General features: G+C 36.8%; 1 long non-coding RNA gene across 1 annotated transcript; it reads right to left on the bottom strand.

Moving 5' to 3' along the window:
• Window positions 1-3,520: 3,520 nt before the first annotated feature.
• LOC107985116 (uncharacterized) lies at window positions 3,521-7,929 on the bottom strand. The gene is made up of 3 exons (XR_001738170.3): window positions 7,675-7,929; window positions 4,628-4,712; window positions 3,521-4,447 (listed from the first exon to the last, which is right to left on the bottom strand). It is a non-coding gene; the product is annotated as an uncharacterized LOC107985116 (long non-coding RNA).
• Window positions 7,930-12,811: the final 4,882 nt, after the last annotated feature.

Here is a 12,811-nt window from a genome sequence, read left to right as displayed (position 1 = left end):
TTTGGGGGAATGCATCTCCTCTTGCTCATAACATTTCAAAATTAAGACATACATAAGCATATAGTATCGCACAATTGTTTTTCACTGCTTTATATATTATGTCAGTGTAATTTTTAATTAAAAATGAGCAGAATACTACCACCACACAGATTATTGTTAAGCTATACAGTTGGTGGAAATTCAATAAATATATTTGATAAGAAAATAAATGATTTGCATCGTATGAACATTCAAAATGGTAAGTGATAATTTTTTCAATTTTATTTTTTCAGAAGAACATGCAACAAAGGATTATTCAATCACAAAAACTATGTTCTTTACTTCATTGTAATTTAAACATGTGGATAAACTCAGTTACAAAAACTTATTGATTAGATACTATATTCTTAAAGACTATTTTTTATAGCAGCTTTGTGTTCACAGTAAAATCGAGGGGAAGGTACAAAAATTTCTTATTATACCCCTTGCTCCCACACACACATAGACTCTCCTATTACCAACATCCTTCACCAGACAGGCACATTTGTTACAAATGGTGAAAGCACAATGACAAATCACTATCACTCAAGGCGCATCATTTACATTAGGGCTCACTCTTTTTTTGTTTGTTGTTTTTCCGTTTTTGTTTTTGTTTCTGTTTTTGAGGTGGAGTCTAACTCTGTCACCCAGGCTGGAATGCAGTGGTGCCATCTCAGCTCACTGCAACCTCTGCCTCCCGGGTTCAAGTGACTCTCCTGCCTCAGCCTCCCAAGTAGCTGGGATTACAGGCATGCTCTACCACACCTGGCTAATTTTTGTATTTTTAGTAAAGATGGGGATTCACCATGTTGGCCAGGCTGGTTTCAAACTCCTGACCTCAAGTGATCTGCCCGCCTCAGTCTCCCATGGTGCTGGGATTACAATTATGAGCCATAATGTCCTGCCAGGGCTCACTCTTGGTGTTAAACATTGTATGGATTTTGACAAATATATAGTAACACTTATCCACCATTATAATACCACACAGAGGAGCTTCACTGCCCTAAAAATTCCCTATGCTCTATTTATTTAACCCTCCCTTTCTTCCAACCTCTGTTCATTTTACTATCTCCATAGTTTTGCTTTTCCCAGAATGTCATATAATTGGAATCACAGTAAATATGCAGCTTTTCAAATTGACTTCCATCATTAGTTGTATGAATTTATTAATAAGATTCTTCTATGTTTTTCATGGCTTATTAGCTCCCTTCTATTAAATATTTGATAATATTTTACTTTCTGGATGTACCATAGTTTATTTATCCATTCAGCTACTGAAGGACATCTTGTTTGCTTCCAAGTTTTGGCAATTACTAATAAAGCTACTATAAATATTTGTGTGCAGTTTTTTTTTTTTTTTTTTTTTTTTTTTTTTTTTTTTTGCACGAACATGCTGCAACTCTTTTGGATAAATACTAAGAAGTGTGATTGCTGGACTGTATAGTATGAGTATGTTTAGTTTTGTAAGAAACTGCCAAACTGTCTTCCAAAGAGGCTGTACCATTTTCCATTTCCATAGCAATGAATGAGAATTCCTTTTTCTCTCCACATCCTTACCAACATTTGTGTTTTCAATGTTCTGGATTTGGGCCATTCTGATAGGTATGTAGTATTAATGCAGTTTTTCATTATTTATGTACAAGACATTTTCCTTGTATCTGTCCCTTTCTATTTGTAACATCACCACCTATTTTCAACACTTATATTCCTTGTGTGGCTATTACATTTAACATTTTATGTATCATTCACCAACATCACTGACTCTTTTTATAGAACACTATTATATGAGTATTCTTAACATAGCCTTCCTACACTTGTAAAGTAAATTTCAATTTCCTTGCACTGAGATTCAGATGTTGCTCTCATGTGATTTTGTTTCTCAATATTTCTTGCATGGTATTCTTTACCAATATGTACGCTAATTTTTAAACCACCAATATCCTGGGGAAACAACTCTGTTTTCTTCCCTTTTGTGATCTGCTATAGCATTGTTCTTTGCCCTTTTACACATTATTACAATAAGCCCAGTTTCCACTTGTTTTCCAGAGGTTTCCTTGGTTATTTCATTCACGCAACTCTTTTTCCCCTGGAGAGACTTTATATATTCATCATGTACTAAAGGCCAAGTTCTGCCTTAGTCTTGGCAGCCCCTTCCTTCAGGATATATTTGGTTGAATGTGGGAAGTGCAATTAAATATATTACAGGAATACAGGCAATGGTAGAAATCTAAACTAGTTTTAGTTTTAGAGTATAATGGAGGAGCTGCTAACCTAACAATGTGAGAGAAGGAGTATCCTGGAGATAGGGACCTACTTTGACTCTTGAAAGACTGGGAGTTTGTCATGTATAAATAAGAAAGGTTTTCAGTGAACATCACCGCCAAGGCTTGGAAGTACAACCATGTACTGTGCATATTGTTTATTAGGCACTAAACATAGACACTTTTCATTTATTCAAGAAATATTTGTTGAGTACTTTTAAATACTGTTAGAAAACTTCTAGATATGGGAAACAGGGAGTTCTCGGTGAACTTGAAGATTTTTTTGGTCACATAAAGTTTTTTTTTTTTTTTTTTTTTTTTTTTTTTTTTTTTGAGACGCAGCCTCACTGTCACCCAGGATGGAGTGCAGTGGCGTGGTCTCGGCTCACTGCAGGCTCTGCCTCCCGGGTTCACGCCATTCTCCTGCCTCAGCTTCCCGAGTAGCTGGGACTACAGGAGCCCGTCACCAAGCCCGGCTACTTTTTTGTGTTTTTAGTAGAGACAGGGTTTCACCGTGTTAGCCAGGATGGACCGGATCTCCTAACCTCGTGATCCGCCTGCCTCGGCCTCCAAAAGTTCTGGGATTACAGGCGTGAGCCACCGCGCCCGGCCGTCACATAAAGTTTTTACGGTAATGTACCTTTAAAATGGACTAATTTGGTAGCTTAATAATGTTAATCGACACCTGAATGTTTTACATCTTCCGGCCATGTCATCTCTACTTAGCTCCCCTAATGAACTCAGGAAGGATTCAGAAGCAGTACTGTTTCTTTTTATGCATCACATTTTAAGAGCAAGGAAAGCTTTCCTAGAAATTTCCAAGTAGATTTTCAAGTCTTCTCAGACAGAACGTTTTGCATACCTGGCCTAAGCCAATCATTTACAAAAGGAATTGGCTCATAACAATCAGTTTAAATCAAGCAAAAATTACTTCAGGAGTTGAAATGAGAAATATAGTCCCGGAGTCGTTCATGGGTATCATGCACACCTGAATCAAACAGGGGCTCTGTCAATCAGCATATGTGAGAAATGGGTGCCAGATAGGTGACTGTTGATATCTGTAACAACCAGTTGTTTACTAGTCACTGTGCTTGATGTTAGGAAGGCCATGGAGAGCAAAATACATAATCTCTGACCTCAGGGAGCTGAGGAAATGTTGAGTAAGGTATTATTAAATAATCACACAGGTAGTTAATAAACAACAATATCTTTAAAAAGAAACAAGTACAGGGAGAGAAGAAAGCATTTAATATGGTGAACTTTATTTATTATGAGGTGTCAAGGAAGAATTCTATGAGGAAATACATTTGAGCCATAATCTGAAGTTAAGTCAGAATAAAGCAAGCAAAGGGTAGATAATTTAAGGGAAAAGTATAATCCTAGTAAAGGGAACAGCATGTGCATAAGATGTGACACTAGTTGTACCTTCAGAAATGAAAACAATTCTGTGATCAGAGAATAGAGAGAATGCAAAAATGGGATAGGAGAAAAGGCTGGGCAAGATAGAAGAGACTATCCTGTTTGCAATGTCCAGCTTAGCCTTAAGAGAAACGAGAAGACACAGAGAAATTGAAAGCAGGAGAATATCATAATGTGGGATAAATGAGCCTTCCAAAATGCTATAAAGCTGGCATAAAGATAATATTCAGGAAAACCCTGAAACTAGGAATCAGTTGTTAACCCTAGAACTAGGAATCAGTTGTTAACTATGGGTAGGTTTCAAGAACCAGGAAGCTTGATATTTATAAATTAAATCTCAAAAATTATTAGTGAAAACATCCTAGAATGGTGAGAATGGTGATATAATTCTCAAATACAAAAAGGCAAGGATAAGGAAGATAACAAACTTTCAGAATCTCCCAGAAGCTTATTTTGTCCAGGTAAATTGGATTGTTAGTCTAATCTTTCAGTAGAGGAAAAAACAGAGTATGTGTGATTTCTTGAAGTTAAAATATAAACCTTTTGTCATGCTGCAGCCTTGATTTCTTCTCTTTGTTATACTTTTTTATTCCCATCAATTATGAAGTAATGTTAAACAATCATCCAAATATTTATTGAATTCATCCACATTTCTGTGGCTCAACTCACACTATGGTTATCCATCCCTTATCTCAAAATTGGATATTTGTATTGAATCTCTTTGCTGGTGTTTGTTCTTGAATTCTTAGCTGTAAAAGAAAAGAAAGATCCTCCACTTATACCCCAAAGTACAATGACTCAAGCACAACAAAAGCATTATATCAATAAAAATCCAAGTTGAGTGTTCTTGGTTTGCAAGCAGCTATTTTTCATGCAGCAGTTTGGGGGCCCAGCCTCTTTCCATATTGTGGCTCCACAATGGTATTTACCTCCAGCCAGCAAGAAGAGCAGAACTCGGATGATTCTTAAATGCCTTGTCCCGTTAGCAGCTCGTATAGTTTCCACTCACATTCTCTTTGAAAAAAATAAAATAAAATGGTCACTTCCCTGAATCAAGTGAAGGAAGCCTGGAAAATAATGTAGCACTGTTCTTAGAAGAAAGCTTTTTTGTTGTGTGTTATCAGCTGATAAACTCTGCCACATTTGTTTCTAATCTTGCTGTAATCCAAATTGTTCTCCAAACTATACACATGATAATTAAAACAGTTTATTTAATATTTCTTTGTTTAAAGACTTAAAGGTATGCACTGATTTTAGAATGAAGTTCACTCCTTTTCATAGATGCTTATGTGTAATATTTATCTCAGCCCCTTCTAAATTTACTACCCCATTTGCTGCTAGTTTTCTCTTAAGATTATATTGCAAAATTACTAAACTTCCATCTGTTGTCTAGAACATGCTGCATTATTTTGCCTTGAAGCTCTGAAACTTGATCTTCTCTCTGCCAGTAACACTATCTTTGTTCATTCACTTCCCCAACTCCTGCATACACTTAAAGTCTCAGTGTAAATTCCATAGGCCCAGAGTGCCCATCTCTGTCCCAGACCAAATAAGCACCCCTGCATTTATTCCTGTAATGTTTTGTAGTTCTGTTTCATAAAATCTCATCATACTTCAATTGATGATTTATTTAATGTCTATTTCCTTAACAAAGTTTTGACCTTTTAGGCAAAATTTGTAACTCTTGCACACTAAAGACTCATTTTTAATTATAGTCAGTTTTCTTATAATGCTGGTTTTAAAAATGAAAATTGGTTCTAAGATAATTGATATTTTAGGAAAAAAAGCATAGTAGAAATACTGCATTTGCTTATATTTGACTTTGTCCATTAGAAATACTGGATAAATGAACAAAATAGTACTCAACTGAACTGAGCTGTAGGGGACCACAAAAAATGCACACATATACATAACTCAAGCATCTCCCAGATACCTTGGTGTACTGCGTTTGGTATGAGCCACAGTCAATCACATCTGTGATTAAAACTTTCTGTCAAATTTCTAATAATCCTCTTGCTACACCTTTACAATAAGCCCCAAACTGACACCTATTTCCACAAGCAAATTTCCGATGGTTTTAAAGAAACATGGAATATTATTGTAGTATTGTAGCACGTAGGAAATCATATGACATGTTGAAGAGAACTGAGGATAAATGAAAGAGCATTGTTAACCATTTAACATTTGTAAAATGTTGCTACTGTTTCTTTTGTCCTTCCTTCCTTCTTCCTTTCCCTTTCCATCTCCCTATTTCTTTCTTTCTTTTTCTTACTTCCTTCCTTCTTTTTCTTTTCTTTTCTTTTCTTTCTCTCTTTCTTTCTTTCTTTCTTTCTTTCTTTCTTTCTTTCTTTCTTTCTTTCTTTCTTTCTTTCTTTTTTATTTTCCCTCCCTCCCTCCCTTCCTTCCTTCCTTTCTCTTTCTCTCTTTCTCTTTCCTGCTTTTTTTTTTTTCTTTTTGAGACAGTCTCCTCCCTCTTGTTACCTAGGCTGAAGTGCAGTGGCATGATCTCAGCTCACTGTTGCCTCTGCCTCCTGGATTCAAACGATTCTCCCCTCTCAGCCTCTCCAGTAGCTGGGACCACAGGCACACACCACCATGTCTGGCTAATTTTTGTGCTTTTAGTAGAGAGGGCATTTCACCATGTTGGCCAGATTGGTCTGAAACTCCTGACCTCAGGTGATCCACCCACCTCGGCCTCCCAAAGTACTGGGATTACAGGCATTAGCCACCATGCCCCAATTATTGCTACCATTTCTATTAGGTTATTATCTTCTATTTATTTATTACATTATTTTGACTATTGTGTTCTATTATAAACTGAATGTTTGTGCCCCTCCCCCCATTTGTATGTTGAAATCTAGTACCCATCCTGATGTTATTTGGAGGCTGGGCCTCTGAGAGGTAATTACGTTGTGAGCTTTCATGAATAGAATTAGAGTCCTTGGAAGAGGAGGTCAGAGAGTTAACTTACTCTCTTTCTACCCTGTGTGGACACAGCAAGAAGAAAACTATCTGTAAACCAGGAAAAGACCCCTCACCAAGAAGCCAACACTTCTGGCACCCTGATCTCAGACTTTTAACCTCCATAACTGTAAGAAAGAAATATTTGTTGTTTAAGCCACTCGGTCTATGATAATTCCTTATGTTGGCCCAAACTGACTAAGGCATGCTCTTGATTCCATCTTTCCCCATATGCCCTATTGTTTTTATTGTGTGTGTGACTTTGTATAACACAGTGATTTTTAGGAAATCATATGACATGTTAAAGATAACTGAGGATAAATGAAAGAGCAATTGTGTGAAGCTAATTAGGGACTTGGTTATTTGGATCAAAGCTTGAAATGACAGCAGTCTGCCATCCTAGATAGTACCTGAGCTCCTAGGACTGCCAGATTATGCTACCCTCAGACATCCATAAGGTTGTTCTCAGAATACCAGTGAAGAAACCAATCCTTCCTCTTCATATCCCAGTGTCAGGTCAAAGGGGGGAAGGAAGCTATGGACCTGTGTGAGTGGAAGCTCTTTCAGGATCACCACTGTCATTGAAGGGAAAGGGAGTGAGTCTTTGTATGTCTGTAACTAGGCACACTTCACATGAGTTCTGCTTCATGCAGTCTTTCAGATAACAGTCCTGAGAATATCCAGACTCCTTGTAGCTTTTCCTATCCATTTGAGATTTTTAGCCGTCATCTATTTCTTCTAAGATTTTATCCATCATTTCACTTCCATTAGCCTCAGTTTTCTTATCTACAAAAAGATATGATTGAAGCAGCTCATCAATAAGCTTTCCTTTTCTTATAAAAGATTTTCATTTACAGTCTAACCCTCATTTTACCTACACCATACCCAAGCATCAAGGCTAAAAGGAAATGGAAGTGTGAACTGAACAGTCTCTGCTGGCAGCATATCAGATTCCTAACCATAAAAGTGATTATGCCTCATGCTGTTTGTCAGCCTTTCACTTACCCATACATACCTATAGATCTGTCTTTGTGGTAATCAATCCTTCTCAGAACATAAAACAGCACAAGATGTCTTTTAATCTTAGGAATGTAAGGAGTCAGATTCTAAAGCCCCCAATACAAGTGGGAATAGGCCACACCTCTGTAAGTATTAGCTGGAGCGGTGAAACAGTCAGAACATTTCCTGGTGTTGGACAGTGGAACTGCTGTTTCTCACTATGGATGTCATCAAATGTGAGTAAAAAGAAAGGCATCATTGTGCTTTTGGTCTAAAAGAAAGGAAGATGAAATGATGTCAGAACTTACTGTCAAAACATTTAGTATAGATCACTGGGGTTACATTTTAAGGAAAAACAAGCCCTATTTGCAAGGAGAAAAACATATCTAATTTGAAAATGATGTAAAACTACTTGTATCACAAAACAGACATCTTACTGCAAACTTAATGAGGCCAAGGTCACATTGATATATTCTGATTTCTAATCTTTAAATGTAATATTCTTTGTAGAAAGAAATCTGTGCAGAGATTTTAAAAATTGAATTATTTCTATTGTTTTTTTTTTGTTTGTTTTCTGTTTGCTTAAATTTTCTCAGATTATGCATGAAGACATTGAGTTCAAATGATGGTACAAATTTTTGTGTCAGGGTGTAAAATTTCAAGTAATTAAAAAAGAAATGGAAAGCAGCAAATGAACTCTTCCTTAGCATTATTAAAAGTCTGCAGTAAAAGACCCAACAAAGGAGAAAGAAAAGTAGAGAGACAAAGAAAGAATTAAATTTAAAAAATCCACAGATATAGCCACATAGTTGTCAAGCTTATTCCTGAAATGAGATCTGACATGCCAATATCAATTGGGAAAGATAAAGGTAATTTCAGTGTCTCTAAACATTTAGAGGAGCTACCAGAACAAAGTCAGTGAGATCTGTATCAACAATGTGGTTACAGCACTGGGAATGCATTGTGGGATTTTTTTTTTTTTCAATAAGTTGATCTAAAGAAGCCTGGCCAAGCTATTCACAGTCTCTGTTACATGAGTGTCACTTTGCAAAGTAGAACACACACTTGGAAGTGTTACCCTCCAAATACATTTTACATGTGGATTATGATTTAAAATTTTTTCTATGATCTAAAAAAAAGTGAATTATAATAGACTGTCAAAGAAAAAAATGAAGATGGAAATATACTATCATTCAGAAAGTAGTTACAGTCAAAATTTAGCCAGTTCCACTGTGAAAATTTGGTTTTTCTCTTTAACTTTTTCTCCTTTTTTCGTTATTAGTTTTAAATATAGGTTACGATCAGCTAACTCTGATTTCATTTGTTCCTCTTACTTTTTCTCAAGGGGCAGGAATACCTTCCAAGCAGGTCTGTAGTTAACCTGGTCATTTTTAAACTTTCAGCACGTTTAAATGAATGTTTCACAAATCAAATTTCTGAAGCTCAAGCTGCAACTTTCACTGTCTTTCTATGTAGCATTTGTAACAGTCATGGTACAAAGAAAAGGAGAACCAAGGTGAAGGGTATAGAATAAATGATTTACAAAAGTTAGACTCTAAGCAACCATGGGAGTTGATGGGACATTTTTGGCTGGCTAATGCTCCTGTGTCTAGCGTTGAATCTAAAGTCATTATAGCTTGGCCAGACAGTAATTAAAAATAAAATCTGGATATGAAAAAGATTAGTAGCAAATTGGAACCCAAAAGGATGAAATATCTGTCTTCTCCCACCTCTTACTTTGAAGCTATTGGAGACTTGTTATGAAAGCTGCTGCCTTTCACCACAGAGCTACATGTGCACTTGGCTTAGGACTCAGAGACTTTGAAGAAGATTTGCAGGAGCTAGAGGTCCAGATGTTACGAGCAGCAAGGTGAGCTCTAGATCAGTGACAACAACATTCTAAAGCTATTGTGGTACCATGCACAGGTTTCAGAGTATAAAAGTGTACAGCTGGTGATTCTCTTATGCCTTTTGGAAAGCAATCAAATGTGTCTTGTAACAATACTAACAGCAAACTACACAATAAAGACAACTAGGGAAAACGTAGTCCTAGCTTAGGTAACCTGATAAAATGCAAATTCACTAAAATCTACTCTTTGGCAAAATTTAACCCACACAGTTTTCTTTAAGCAAATAACTTCTAAATAAAGACAAGAACAAACCATGCTTTTGCCTAATAGGCGAAATGACCCCTCGTACAACTGAAAACTTGCCAACCATGCTCCCCAAAAGAGGTCGCTGCTTTTCAAAAATAAGTTATTCTTTTAAATTAGTCATATTGTTTTGTATATTAAAACTTAAACACTGAAATTATAAAAAAATCCTACTACTAACACATACAATGCTATATGATAGGGGAATAGGAGAGGGAAATACATCGATACATGTATACACAGACAATATGAAAGTGAAAAATAAATGTTTATAATTATTGCAGTGCATATTGCTCTAACTGGTCAGGGCCAAAGTTCTTCCACTAGCCATTCCATATTCTTCTGGATAGTCATTATTTCCTGTAGGGTGTGTTGTCCCGAAACTTCATTTCTAAATGGTCTGGGTCATTTGCAGTTCTGTCCCATCAGATTAGCTGTCTGTTGACTCTAATCAGCAAGGATAAGAGCTCTAAGAGGCATTTCATGAGATCTCCTTCATTTCAGACTTGACCATTCTCACCCATATTGTGCAGCAGCACCCCAATACCTCCTGAGAGTCACAATAAATTACCTGTCTCTAAGGTTCTTTTTTCCCTGATGGTTCACTAGCATTAGGGCACAAAACATCTATGTGAAATTTCAACTCTAAGCTTAACAAAACTATTGGTTTATCTTTTGGAAGAATCCTTTTCCTTTAGAAACAGGAATAAGAAGACCATCAGAGTCCACAGTTGCAGGGATGGGAAGCAAACCTTTCTGGATCACAATGGTGGGTAAGAAACGACACTTCACTGTTCACCTTTTCACTTCTGGACTTGTGAATTCTGGCTATGGTAAAAACATAACCATAGAGTAATCACTGATTTAAAGTTTACACTTTAGCCTGAGTAACATTACCACAGTGTCCCAGCATAGACTTCAGTAGGACATTTTACTGTTCTGTCAGGAAAGCTATTTCAAGGTGATGAGCAAAATGGTAAGATAAGTGAATGCCATGAATATATGCAAATTTCTTCCTTTCACTTTCTTTGAAACACTGTTTGAATTCCATGAGTGAGGAATTCTGTAAGTTCATAGATTTTGGCAAAAGCATCATGGACAAGAAAGGCAGATACAGATATTAAGTGTCTGTCTCAGTGAGAAAAAAAGGTGTTGCTCCTTCCATGATAGAAATGGTCCAATGCAATCAACATGACATATGACACCTTACTATTCTCTTTTAGGGAATGGAGCTATAATGAGATCTCAATGTCAGTTTCTACTTTTGGCATGTTGACCACTTGGCAATAGTTATAGTGAGATAACCTTTAGAAAATAGAAGACCATAGTGTTGAGCCATACTTAAGCTCTGTCTCAATGGCATGAGCACTTTATTCGTGAGTTCATTGGGAAATGACTGGGTTGGCTGGAGTAAGAAGCTAGCATGGCATCCACGCACTGGGTTTCCTTGTTCACATACTTATTAAAATTATCTTCTGATAAGAGATTACTGTTTGGTGAGATTCACTTGGGGTACAAACATCTTCATACTCTGTAACCATTCAGAAAGCTCTATTTACATACACATATATTCTCTAGTCATCCTTGTCACCAGTTGTCAATTACCCTTCATTCAATCTTTGAACATTTAGCAAAGTTCTTAGCCACTGCTTGCAAGTATATCTGGGGATCCATAACTCTCACAAAGATATATTCAAGACAAAATAACCAACTGAGCACATTTCTTGGAGTTCTGCCTATGGGAGGGGTTTGCCATCATCATGACCCTTCAGGGCTATCATGTAGTTGTACCGCAAGGCTGCCAACATCTATTTTTGCATAGCACACATTTTTATCTATAAACTGGGGTTGAACATTTTTTTTCCTCAGTCAACTGAGAATAGGAAACTACCTGAGAACTCATAGTGCAGGCTAAAATGTAGACGGCAATGTAGCAGTGCTGTAGACTCATTTCATATAGATTTAAGGCAAAACTCCCATGATGGTTGACCTCCATAAGCTCCTACTATGACCAGTAAACTGCAGTGAAATTTTTGATCTTTAGGAATTAATATCAGTGCAGATCTTGTGTTTGGTAATTATTCTAAATTCTGACAATTTCCCTATTCCAATGCAAAGACTCTGGGAAATGTCTTCAGAGGTCACATAAGGGAAAGTCAGGAGGAAGGATAAAACATTTTGGCTTTGTAGCATTATCCATCCTCTAAGGGAACAAACCACCACAAACCACCCTTTCACTCAAAGTGCTCTGGGCCAGTGAAATGGCATAATCAGGGAATTGATTGAGGAACCAAACCTATACATGATAATTCAAGTCAGACTTCTGCTCACCAGACCTAGAGCTATTCAACTAACACAAATCAGAAATATCTTTAATAGGCCATCCATATAGGGCAACATGACCCAATAGTCAATGCCAAATATGTCTTCAGATAAGACTTTTCGGATTACTGCAACTATGTGTCCATTAACAGCACCTATGTGTCTTTGATAATTTGAAGCCCTCATTTGGCTGTAGCCACCTTGATATCTCATCCTCTCTATTGCATAAAGGGACCTTTCCCACGATGGTGGCATTTCTCATTTTCATTTGTAGATCACAGGGAACAAATACAACAATATTCGTCAAGAATAAAGAGCCTTAACACAAATCTTCAAACCTCCCCTCATGAATGTTCTGATGACCTTTATGAAGGAGGAGTATCTTCTCTAATAGACTCTTAAAGAGAATATATTGAGAGGACAGCAGGAAACTTTTACGTAATAAATCCAGTCTTTCATTTAAATTTCCCTATATCTTTGGACAACTTCCTCTATTGTACACCCAGAAAGTTCTGGCATTTCAGTTTTCCTATGCAGACTTCATTTGGATCCATATGCCAGTCAGCAGTAAACTTTGGAACCTCTCCTTGCCATTTGAGCTAATAGATGCAAATGAGATTCTCACGTCAATAAATTCAACCTCATCAAATATTATTTTCTTTCCAACTGAACCCAATA

Source organism: Homo sapiens, chromosome 1 (genome assembly GCF_000001405.40).
Source record: "Homo sapiens chromosome 1, GRCh38.p14 Primary Assembly".
Taxonomy (NCBI): domain Eukaryota; kingdom Metazoa; phylum Chordata; class Mammalia; order Primates; family Hominidae; genus Homo; species Homo sapiens.
The sequence above is the reverse complement of the archived record's forward strand: the minus strand, read 5'-3'. Positions and strand labels throughout refer to the sequence as shown.